At 35.4% G+C, this 13,439-nt stretch overlaps 1 protein-coding gene across 1 annotated transcript in view; it reads right to left on the bottom strand.

Annotated features, from left to right (window-relative positions):
• The window catches only part of PSMD14 (proteasome 26S subunit, non-ATPase 14), a 103,293-nt gene that overhangs the window by 50,395 nt on the left and 39,459 nt on the right, over positions 1–13,439 (bottom strand). The gene's annotated exons all lie outside the window — the stretch shown is intronic.

Genomic DNA, 13,439 nt, shown 5'->3' with positions numbered 1-13,439 from the left:
TATTACAGTGTTGCAGAAAGTTTCATTTCATTTAGATTTCAAAGTTATCACCATAGAATTGAACATATTCTATTTTAATTTTTCATTTTTTCTTAGTACTGGAAGCATTTAAAACTAAATTTCCTTTCCTATATCATGTTATACCACCACCCAGATGGATTAAAGAGTTACATGTTTTTTTAAAAAATTAAAGTGTAACAAATGCTATGCCAAAAATATTGGTGAATGCCTATTTGATCTGGGTGAAGAAGCACATTTTAGGTAGAAACTCAACTGAACAAATAAAGGAACATAAAATTGCCAACATAATCTAAATTTCTAAATACCTAAAGACTTTAAAACAAAACACCCTGAAAAAATAGTTTTCCCATTTATGACAAGAAGTCAGTACACAAGCAAATTAAAAATACTAAAACCATAATGGAAACATGGGCAAAGAATAATAGAGACTAATTACATCAGAAATACATGATGAAATAAATACGAAGGCCAGGCGTGGTGGCTCACGCCTGTAATCCTAGCACTTTGGGAGGCCAAGGCAGGCGGATCATGAGGTCAGGAGATGGAGACCATCCTGGCTAACACGGTGAAACCCCGTCTCTACTAAAAATACAAAAAATTAGCTAGGTGTGGTGGCATGTACTTGCAATCCCAACTACCCAGAATAGGGCTGGGCACAGTAGCTCATGCCTGTAATCCCAGCACTTTGGGAGGCAGAGGCAAGCGGATCACCTGAGGTCAGGAGTTCAAAACCAGCCTGGCCAACATGGCGAAACCCCATCTCTACTGAAAATACAAAAATTAGCCAGGCATGGTGGCGGGTACCTATAATCCCAGCTACTTGGAGGCTGAGGCAGGAGAATCGCTTGAACACGGGATGTGGAGGTTGCAGTGAGCCAAAATCATGCCACTGCACTCCAGCCTCAGTGACAGAGCGGGTGAAAAAAAAAAAAAAACAATATGAAAGGCTCAGCCAGGCACAGTGACACATGCCTGTAGTCCCAGCTACTTGGGTGGCTGAGGTGGGAGGATCACTTGAGCCCAGGTCAAGGCTGCAGTGAGTCATGATCTCGCCACTGCACTCCAGTCTGGGGGACACAGTGAGGCCTTGTCTCAAAAAAAAAAAAAAAATACATGCATATATATATGTTACGGGGTGGAAAAAAGCTGTTTATCTTTGTTTAACCTGAAGCTTAAATCATTCCATGAGCCACATAGTCCTATCAGAGAAAATCTGGAATTTTTCAGGCTCTGGAAAAACACATCTTTGTTTTTTGTTTATTTTTTTCAAATGTGTGATAGATACCAATCCCATACTACACAAATAATACTTAAGTATTCATCATGTGCTACCACTTTAGCTGTGTGGTTAAACAAAAGCTTCGAGAAGCTTGTGAGGTAATCAAATATACATCTACATCGACATATATCACAAGGCTAAAATGTAACACAATCAGAGCTAAAATGCAACTTCTGACGCTAGTAATATACTTTCCAGTACAGTACGCCATCCCATTTTCAGATGCCCAAGTCTACTTTTATTCTGGGAGCTTAGTTCACTTCCATTGTTTATAATTTTAGAATCCTCTGCCACCTGGAGCCATTTCCTATTAAAGAAAATGGAAAGAAAACTTGAGATGTCCTTCCTATTCAAAAGTAGTTAGTATGCTCACTGAGAACAGAGAACACTTCAGTGTCTCCCCATATTTCCTGAAGTCTAGATGGGCACAGTGGGCTATAGAGAGCAAAATGCACTATACACTGTATAGATACTAATATGAAAATTAAAATATGCCTTTTTCCAAGTCCAATTAAAAAAAAAATCTTTGCCTTAAAAAAATAACTTTTTATTAAAAGCTGTGGGAAATCTAAGTTACACAAAGCATTTGAGACTTTTTAAAAATCACAGCACACAAATGATAGAAAAATAAAAACCAGGCAAGCACAGTTCTCAAATATATTACCAGTTCAAAGAATTAAATTATGGATGCATATATATAAGCATATAAAATTATATTCTTAGTATTAATGTATTTTAAAGAACTGAGTAGGGCCAGGCACAGTGGCTCACACCTATAATCCCAGCACTTTGGGAGGCCAAAGCTGGAGGATCACTTGAGCCCAGGAGCTGAAGACCACCCTGGGCAACATAGTAAGACCGCATCTCCACAAATTTTTTTTTAAAGATTTGCCAGGCATGGTGGTGTGTGCCTGTATTCCCAGCTACTCAGAAGGTTAAGGTGGAAGGATTGCTTCAGCTCAGGAGGCTGGGGCTGTAGTGAGCTGTGATTGTGTCACTGCACATTCCAGCCTGGACAACGAGGCCCTATCTCCAGAAAAAGAACTGAATAAACAACAAAAATAGGACACTAATTCCTTATAGAAACAGAAGTCTCAAATACGAAGGGTTTTCAAGATACTTCATGTGCTAGATGGCTATGCCCTGAGCAAATAAAGATATTGAAGTGACTCTCTTGCCTCAGCCTCCCAAGTAGCTGGGATTACAGGTACATGCCACCACACCTGTATTTTTGGTATCTTTGGTGGAGACGGGGTTTCACCATGTTGGCCAGACTGGTCTCAAACTCCTGATCTCATGATCCACCCGCCTCAGCCTCCCAAAGTGTTGGGATTACAGGCGTGAGCCACCGTGCCCGGCCAGGCTCTTTAAACATGAAAAAACTTAAGGAGAAAAACGTATGAGTCAAGGGTTTCAGTGAGGGGAAATGTAGAGTAGGAGTGGTCAGATTAATGAGGTTGTAATGGGCAGAAATGGGCAGAGACACAAAGTTTCAGGATTGGGAGGAGCTACCTAGCGGAAAGGAGACAGCGCACGGTTTTTATCCCTCACCCACAGTAAGTTTCCAAGTCCCTTTACCCCTACCCTTATGTCTCATATTTCCAATCCTAGACATAAATAAGAAACTAAAGATTTCACAAGTAGAAACTGTTAACATATTTTCTTAAGTTAGACTTAAGTTATAACTATTTTATTGCTAGTTTGTATTTACATTCAACTAAAATGGACTAAGTGATCACATGAGGACAAATTATACATGTCCTATTTATAGGACTAAAAAAGACCTGGATTTACAGAGTGTCAATCACTTCAATCATGTTTTATTTATTGAGAAATTATTATGTTTAAGAAAGTCAGGGAAATGCTGGGTAAAGTGAGGTTAAAAAAATTATATAATGATATAAACCAAATGAAAACCTGGCCTCCAAATACTTTTTGAATTTTTAAAATTGGCTTAGGCTGTTACCACTATAAAAAAAAGTAATGGAAAAAAAGTCTTTTTTCTGGTGCTTAATCAAGAGCATAGTTCTAAAATTATCAGCTTATACAGTATGTGAACTATTCAAGTTAACTTTGTTGACCTTATAACAACTGTTTCACCACCATTAAAAAAAAAAAAGAACAGGAAGTCATTGATTGGAGATTGAATGTGATGGAACTTAAACTTCAAGGTCATTTAATAATACCTATTAGAATAAACGAAGGCACCAGTATAACTAAAGAGGTACTTAAGCTACATAAAATAGTCTCGTCTTTCATACAATGCCACTATAAAATAAGCACACACATCACTGACAATAGAAAAGTAAATAAGAAACATCTGAATATTCTGCAACTTCACAGTCTGCTGCTAAAACTTAAATGAATATTACCATTTGAAAATTGGAATATGATTTATAGTTACATACTTCTGTAAAAAATATGAAACTAAAATGCACATATCCCTTGTAAAACAAGGAACTGAAATAATTACTTTTGCTATATAAATCCTCAATACTAAATTCCTACAAGCGACTTTGAAATCACTTAAGTAATTCTGACTCTTGAAAATAAGTTTGTTATAAAAAGGGGGAAAATCCATACCTTTAAACAGACTAAAATTATAAGTCAGTGATCTAACAGAACTGTAGGGTAAAAAGCTGAGCCACAGGCACAAGCAGTGTGACCAGCCTTTATTCATTCATGAAAATCTAAGCAACCAATGATATAAAACCTGTTATGAATTCTGCAAAGGCAAACAAACCTCAGTACAATGAGTTATGATGTGACACATTTAGTAAGACAGATATTATCATCCAGGTTTACAAATTTTAAATGTGGTTAAATTAACTGAGGCATGAGGTGGATTTTTTTTTTTCCATTTAGAAGATTAAAATCTGATCCAGTATAAAAACCTGTGACTTTTACATGGGTAGCCCTTGTTGACTAAGTGCTAAAAAAAAAAAAGGCATTTGCCATTATAACAGCATAAAAACTAATGCCTCAAAGTGTTACCTACTCAGGCCTTTTAACAAATTTGTTAACACTATTAGTTATATTACTCCACCTTTCTCTTAGTGTGAACTGGTATCAATTATTTAGCCAATTTTATTATGTTATTAAAATACCTGCTGATTAAACATGAACTAAAGTGTCACTTAAAAGAAATGTAAAATAAATAGCATCACTGAACTGCAACATTCCAAAAATATCTAAAAATATAAAGTTATCTCGGGAAATGACATTAAACATTTCAAAAATTTGTAAAAAAAAAAAAAAAAGGAGTTTGAATATTTAAATATTACATATGGCTTATTTTTATAATGGCTATTTAAAAGTGCATATTTAGTCCTGTGTTTTAAAAATTATTTTTAAAAGTCTGTTAAAATATATGCTTTATAACAAAAAAGAAAATAGGCTTTAGGAACAAATGAAGGTGATTATATGTTTTAAAACAAAACCTAAACATATAATTTATTGAGTTGATGGAAAATAATTCTTAATTTTATGGTATCTAATATAACCCTCAACAAATTTTATCATAAAATCAAAAATTCTGATGAAACCACTACATTCAGTTTCCTCAATTAAAAATTCCCTTAAAAAAATGCAACATAAATGAATTCAAACACATACAACTAACTACCATTGTACTGTTTATCTCTTACCCAGCAAGGTAAGAAACAACCTTTTAATACTTTAATTTTGTATTAAACAACTAGTGTGAAAAACAAGCTGCATGTAAACTATTTCTACTGCATGAGCTTCAATGACTAGCTAAGGCAACCTGTTATAGGAGGTGTTAATTGGCAATAGGAGTACAAGTCAGAAGCATGTTCCCCATCGTCCTAACCCAGCAAGGCTAGGTCATTAAAGTGGAAATGAATTCTTTCATGTCGACTTAACCCTTTCAATGCATGATTTCAGCTGTTTGCTTTCAATTAATTTAAAAAACTTGTTACTTTTTAGAGTTAAAAAAAAATGTTCCAAAAAAAAATCCTTTGGCTGACAGTTTCAATGACTATATTATTCAGAAGAGAAGAGTAGAGCAAATTAATTGCAATGTAATACTGCAACTCTCCCCTCAGAAAAACATATAAACTAATTTGTATTTGCCTATTTTAACACTGAAAAGAAGATAGAGGAGATAGTGTTTAGAAATAGCTCAGAACAATTTAATCACATAGGGTTTCCATTTACATTTCTGTTTGCGGATCCAACAACTGTCCCATTAATCATCTTAACCTTGGGATACAGCAGTAGAAATTTTTTATTCCCATAATGTCTATACAAGAATCCTTAATATAAAAGTGTTTTAAAACATAAATGAGTTAATACACCTTTCCAATTATGTTTTATTATTCTGATAAGGTGCATAATCACAGCATAGTCTGATGATTGGTTGCCAAAAAAGTCCAAATTCCTTTTATGGCATGATCTCAGAGGTTTCCAGATGGTGCATTAATTCTTTAAAAGAAAAAAAGAAAGACAAAAAGAAAGAAAGAAAATAAGAATGGAAATGTCAAAATAATGATGCATTGCTTTTCAAATGCTACATTTATAAATACTAATATTGCCAATTTTAAGCATTATAGAAATTTAAAATAAAATGCAATTATATAATATTACAAATACTACAAATAAAAATATACATATACTGCATCTTTCATCTCTGAGTAATCCTGAAAGTACTGACTTTAGTAAAAACTCATAATATCAGAGTAAGAATTAAACATTAGAAAACATACCTAACACTATGTACCTTGCATAATAAATCAATAAATAATTGCCAACATGACAATAAAGACATAATTTCACCCACTGCTGAAATATACCTAGGTTCTTGAGTAAGTTTAACCAACGATATATTTCTTTATTAAAAATTTGATTAGCAAGAGACAAGAAAACAATGGGAAATATAATGGTTCAAGGATGTCAAACAATGAGAATTATACTATATTCCTATACCATACTCTATATCCCTTTCCTACCTCACCCACCTCCTCTGAAATTTTCTAATTATTTAACAAATTCGGTTCCTGCCTCTCTGAAAAGTTTCTTTTCCTAGGCCTACTGAGTTCCTCCAATATAGCACACCTAAGTTTGGTGGCCCTACAGCCAGTATTTTGAGAATATAAAAACTGCAGCAAGAAACAGGCAGTGGGGTGAAGCGATGTAATAGCAGGGGAGAGGGGGAAATGACACCATTATCTGGTTATAAAGAGACCCTATCAAAGTAACATAGGGGCTGGCAGCCCAGTGCACAATGCCTAACTATGACATTTCTTTCCCTTTAAGACCACCCTTGGTACTCACTTTGAAACAATTTTCACCTATTTAAAAAATGTGTGTGTATACTTCATAAATATATATACCCACTATCAACCCACAAAAACTAAAAACAAAGTTTCTATGTGTGTGTGAAATATACCATGAGCACCAATCACTTTAGATATCTATGAAATCTGTCTCATCAGAATAGGAAATGGCTGTCTCCCACTTTGGGTAACAATCACCGTGCTCCACTGCAACAAGGACCAAGCACAATGCTCGACTACCTTTGTTATAAAAAAACATCATTCAGCAGCCTGGGCAACATGACGAAACCGTCTCTACAAAAAACTACAAAAATTAGCCAGGTGTGGTGGCTCAAATCTGTAGTCTCAGCCACTTGGAGGGCTCAGGTGGGAGGATCATTTGAGCCTGGGAAGTGGAGGCTGCAGTAAGCCAACACAGTGCCACTGTACTCTAGCCTGGGCAAGAGTGAGACTCTGTCTCCACCAACCCCCCACCATCTGACACACATACACACAGCATCATTCACGGAGATCAGTTCAAACTTCAGAAACCAGAAAATATAAACATTTAAGATTGGCAAAAACATAACTGGAAAGAGGGGCCCAGAATCAAGCAGAACCTGAACGTCTCATAACAGAACACTGAGGTATCAGAATTGTTCCACAAAAGACTGCAACTGGCTTTAGAGTTCTTATAGTGCCAGTGGCCCTTTTGAAAATACTGTTCAGCTATGGTACTATTTATTTATGTATTTAAATCACAAAACATGTAAAAATAAATAAAAAATAAATTAACTGGTTATTTTGGGAAGCACCCATAATTCATAATTCATTAACTAGCCCATCTTCTAAATTATAATATGCAAAGCCATGTATGAAATATTACACACAGAGAGACATACAAATAATCTACGTTTTTATTTATTCACTCAACAACTAGACTTGACAGCCCACATACCATGTACTAGCTACACACAAGTAGGAAAGTCCCTGCCCTGAAAATGTTTACAAAGTAGAAGGCAGGGAAGAAAGAGAAGAACCATAACTGCAATATAGAATAAGTACAAAAATAGATGCATAAATAGGGAACACACACATAAGTGACAGCAATCTATTGGGTAAAATCTTCCTTTATGCTAAGAATTAGGGAATACATAGACCTTTTCCAAGTAAGAAAAGGGGGAGGGAGGGAAAAGGCATTCTGGGAAGATAAAAATGACACACTGAAAGGCAGAGAGACATAAAACACATTACCACTCAAAGCTTTTTAAACAATAAAATGAGCTAACTAAAGCGTGGATTCCTAATTAGTCAAACATGAGTGAATACTGTTTAAATTTCAATGGTTGTTTTTCTGAGGATGTGACTTTTCAAATAAGCAAGGTCATCTTTAAAGTAGACATGCTCTTCCTTATCCATACTTTTGGCTTTATGAAAAATATTCAGCACTTAAGAATATAAATCATTTTGGAATTCCCTGACATGCCTAAAATAAATACACAGTTATAAAGACAATATTTGAAGGATAAGATGACATATTTTTCCACATAAAATATTAAGTCTTAAGGACCCAAGATTTCACTATTATGATATAGAGTATCTTTTCAGTTTATAGAATTTGTATAAATTTTACATCTGACTCATAGTCTTAAAGCCAGATTATTTTCTCTTTAATATACAGTTCTCAGAACAAAATATTCTTTTAATAAAATTATAAAGAGCTGATTATCTGACATCCAAGCAATGGACACCACTGGATGAGAAGACACAGAGTTCAAGTCTGGGATTAGCTGGATCACTGATCAAAGGAGCTGAAGGTTAAGTGGATGCTACTGTGATCAGCTGTTAGAGCCACTAAGCAGTCATAAAAGCTGGGCCCTGGAGGTGTTAACACAGAATACAAATAACCTTCCTGTTTGTGTGTATCTTGCTTTACATTTTTCAAATATAATTACATTTTGCTTTATTTCTCAAATGTTATTTACCTCATCTAATGAAAGAAGAGAAAGACAAAGGAACAATACAAGAAAAAGAAAGCACCACACAGAGGAGAGGGAATCCAAAAAAATGGGTGAATGTGGGCACGACTATTTGAAAAAAAGGAAGAAAAAATAGACTTGGGAAACTGGATGGCAGATAGTATGACATGCACTGGGTATATGACAAACCAGTTAGATGTGGTCCTAGTCCTTAAAATGTAATATAGGAGACAGAAAATACACAGTATATATAAAAATCAATACTTGATTGTAACTTGGTGTAGTTTATTATTCTAGTGGCAAAATAAAAGGAAAGAGAGTAAGTCTTGGTAATATAATAAAAGCAAGGCCCTATTTCAAAGCGCCTCCCCAGAAAGTAAATAAGCAATGAATGTAAGCCAGAGGTTCTTAACTGTATTTATAGCTCAGAATTACAAGGAGAGCTTAAAAAATTCTGATGCCTGGGCCCACCCTCAGAGACTCTGATTTAATTGCTCTGGATTGAGGCTCAGGAATCTTTTTTTATTTAGCTCCCCAAGTTATTCTAAAGTACAGCCAAGGTTGAAAATCACTGATATAAACTTATAAAACAAGGATTTCATTATTGTGAGGTTAATGAAATGGCTATGGTTAGTTTGTCCAGCCAGTTGTCTAGGAATTTCAGAGGTCTTGAGCCAATCACCAAATGCATCAAATTCTGAATTACTACAGCGTTTATTATAATTTCAATTTAGTGAGATACAGAGGTTTACAAATTATCATAGATATATGAAGTAGAGAGACTAATCAGGCTAGAGACACTAATTGCTGCTCTCCCTGAAATATTTCTGGTTCCGCTCTCTCAGGCACATAGTACGACTGCACTTCCCTAACCTCTTGAGGTTAGGTATGAACATGTGACCCTCTTCAGCCAATAAAATGTAAGCAGAGTGGCCATGTCACTTTCAATCAAAGCTTTTTAAGGAGTCAGTGTTCAATGATAGCGCTGTATCAGCTTGAGTCCCACAGTAATGATACCACGGAACAGAGCACCCAGACGACCCATGTAGACATACAGTATGAGTGAAAAAGAAAGCTTTCTGGTTTTAAACCATTGAGATTTGGAGGTTATTCCTGAAACATAATCAACCTTTCCTGACTAGCACACCATAGAAGACTTCCAGGGGAAAGAGGAGGGTAAGGGATCATTTAAGCAGTCTAGAAAGAAAGTAGTAAATTCATTAATACACAATGGGGGCAAAGGGCTTTCCTTTACAGAGAACACCCTACAAAAAGTAATATAATGGATGAGCAGAATGGTATGGGAAACTTGAGGACTTACAGAGTATAATATGGCTACTTTGAGATATGAGAAGGTCAGAGCAAAAGATGAATGTAGACAGAGACAAATCATGAAGGATAGAAATTCTAGAACAACTCATAAAAGGGCCAAAGGGGCCATTCTGTGATACTACTCTGCAACCTTCTTTCTGCCCTAGTATAAGCTAAGTGATAAGACCACCTTCACCAGCAACAATGACACACTACCATACCAATCATTTTAGAAAGCTCCCAGATGATCCTGATCATGCCAAAAAGGTATAGGTGGACTTCTCTTTCCCATCCCCTTGAGTCACTACACTTTGGCCTGAAGAACATAATTTTTATCTTAAACTGAAAATGACTGAGGCCTCATTAAGGATATTCAAACAAATGAATAGAGTAATAAATTCCACATTTTAAAAAGAACTACAGAATTTCTGGTGGTGGGAAGATTTACTAAGGGAGATTGGACAAAGGAGGACACAGACAGGATTATAGGAAGGCTGAAATAAGCAGAGGCAATGATGAGAAGAAACATTTGAAGCACACTCCACAGTATAATACTTGGAGACTAATTACACTTGGGGGAAATGGAGAAGTACAATATGATTGCAGGTTTTGCCTTAGGCAGCAGAGTAACTATCAATACCATTAATCAAGATATGGAATACCTTCAGACCATATCCAAAATCTCCAAAATCTAACTGCTTCTAACTATACCTGCATTACAGCAATCTAGTGATTAACTATAAATGTATTTATGTGAACATGAAATCCACTTATTCCTCAATTTAGTTAATTTTGTTTTTACTCTTATTGGAAATGATCTGAGATCTCCTCTCCTTCCTGCTACTTTGATTAATCAAGACACAACATTACAAGGTTCAAAGTTAAGTCAACACAACTATAATAACATTTTATCTGTCTGTCTGCAAATGGCTGGTTAGGCCCTGCCCAAAATGGAACAGTTTAAGACTATTCAAAACCATTACAACAGTCAGTTATTCACTCAAAATTAAACATTATCACATCTAGTTTTAGGACTAGTTAACTTCCTTCTTGGTATAAATTACTGAAGTTCTTCATCCTCAAATAGGATTGCCAGATACATGATACTAAGTTAAATTTGAATTTCAGATAAATAAGTATTTTTACTAAGTACATCCCAGGCTGTATTTGGGACATACTTATACTAAAAATTAATGGTTACTTATCTGAAATTCAAATTTAACTGGGCATCCAGTATTTTCATTTGCCAAATCTGGCAACCCTATCCCCAAGTAACTACAAGTACTTTCTATTCTAAGTTCCTTACACATTTTATTTGTTCTGCCTAGCTTAAGCCAAAGGCAACTTTATATTACTAAACATACCAACATTTCTTTAAAAATGTTACCACGTATTTGTCTTTAAATAAGCATACTTTTAAGACTTAAGTACCCTCACCAAATGGACATTCCCAGTTCCCTCTTATGAAAAGAATACAAATTAAATCTACATCTCAATGTTATACATATCATATTTTTAATCTTGTTGGAAATCAATATCAACTTTGAAGTATCTTCTCTCTCCAAATGCTAACATAATTATTCATTAATCAACAAATACATCTTTTACTTTAGGCAAGAAAACATTCACAGTTTAGACCATACCTTGCAAGCCCTGCTGGTCTCTCCAACCCCACCCTGCTCGTCTGGCTCACAGCAGACTCTCCTCCCTCCTCTGAGGAGCACACCTCAGCTGCCCTACATATTCTCTGCTACAACTCTTCTCCTCATCATGTAATTAAGTCTCCATTAATTCAAACACTCTGTAAGGGTTTGGCATTCACTTGTTTGTAACTTCACATAGGATCTAGGTCAGTGCTCCACAGACTACATCTGTTACCTGATCGAACATCTTAAATAGAAAAGTCAAAAAGTTTAGAGAAGTGTACTGAAATAATTGAAAGAACTCCACACTAGGAAAGACTACCAAACACACACAAAAAAGATGCTCAATAAATAACTCTTCAATCTCTTTATAAATAAATGCAGTTTTAGCTTTTATTTTTGACTCACTATCTCACCCACAAACATGCCAAGCAGGCATTCTGATGCCTCTGTGAGCCAGGCATACATGAAAATGCCAAAGGCAATCCTTTGCCTGTGTGGTCTCCATTAAGAAATTTAGATCCTTTCTCTAGGAAGAGTAAGTATATCCAAAAGGCATAACAAATGAGAGGCTAGAGAAAGGGGAACTATTAGGATTTGACGCATACTTATAAAACAACAGACTGTAGATACTATGTTGATGCAAAAGTAATTGCAGTTTTTGCCATTACTTTCAATAGCAAAATTTGCAGTGAATTTTGCACCAACCTATAGTAAGCCAATTCGGCAGCGGACTGAGCAAAAGGGTCATTTACCTAGAAAGCTGATCTGTCTTCGGCCTAAGATAGAAAGATGCCTCTCTGGGAGTGAGAGGCCAATGAACCAGGTATGTGAGCAGCAGAGAGGAAGAAAGAGCCACGTGACAACTACCTGGAGTAGGAACAAATGTTTTTTCTAACCACTGTTATTTACTTTATTTCTTTTAAAATTTATTATGAAATATTTAGGAAATACAAAAAGGTCTAATGAATAATACAATAGTTCACTACACCCAGCCTATGAAATAAAACATCACTAAAGCAGCTGGGTTGAAGCTCCTGTGTCCTTTTCCCTGACTAACTGCATCCTTACTCCATATCCTCAGATGTCACCGCTATTCTCATCTTAGTGATCGTGCATTTCTTTATACCTTTACTACATAAGTATACACAAATAACATGCAGTATCATTTTGGGTATCTTAAAATTGTACATAAAAACAATCGTATAGAATTATTCCTCCATGTGCTTTTTCATTAGTATGAACTATGTGAGGATTATTCATTTTTCAATACTTTACAAACTTCCACTATTAAGTACAATTATGTACACATTCTCCTACTGATGGATAGTTGGGCCATTTTCAATTTCCTGAAATTATAAACTAGGGATCTCCAAACTACAACCTATCGGCAAACCAGCTGACTGTTTTTTAAAGTGAAATTTTATTGGAACATGGCCAGGCCCATTCATTTTTGTAATATATGGCTGCTTTAGCACTACAATGGCAGAATGAGTAGTTGTGACAGATATCATATGGTCCATGAGCCTAAAATATTTACTATCTAGCCCTTTAAAGAAAAGATTATCAAACCCTGTTATAAGCAATGCTGTTATGAATGTCCCAGTATCCATGTGGGAGACGTTCTCTAGGGAATGTAATTAGGAGAAGATTTGCTGGGTTGTAGGTTAGTCAAATCTTCATTGTTAACAGATTCTGCCAAAAGTTTTTCCAAGAGGGTTGTATACTCTCACTAGCATATACATGTTTATGGTACATTTCTGCTTCTACTAATGTTTGTATCTTTTGCCCATTTTTAAATGGATATCTTTTTCTTATTGATTTGTCAAAGCTCACATAATTGACTAATACCTTGTCAATTATATGTTAGATAAAACTTTCCCAAGCCGTAGCTCACTGTTTGCTTTTTATGCTTCATGCCTCAGCTGCA

Source organism: Homo sapiens, chromosome 2 (genome assembly GCF_000001405.40).
Source record: "Homo sapiens chromosome 2, GRCh38.p14 Primary Assembly".
NCBI classification, from domain to species: domain Eukaryota; kingdom Metazoa; phylum Chordata; class Mammalia; order Primates; family Hominidae; genus Homo; species Homo sapiens.
This window is presented reverse-complemented; position numbering and strand designations above follow the sequence as displayed.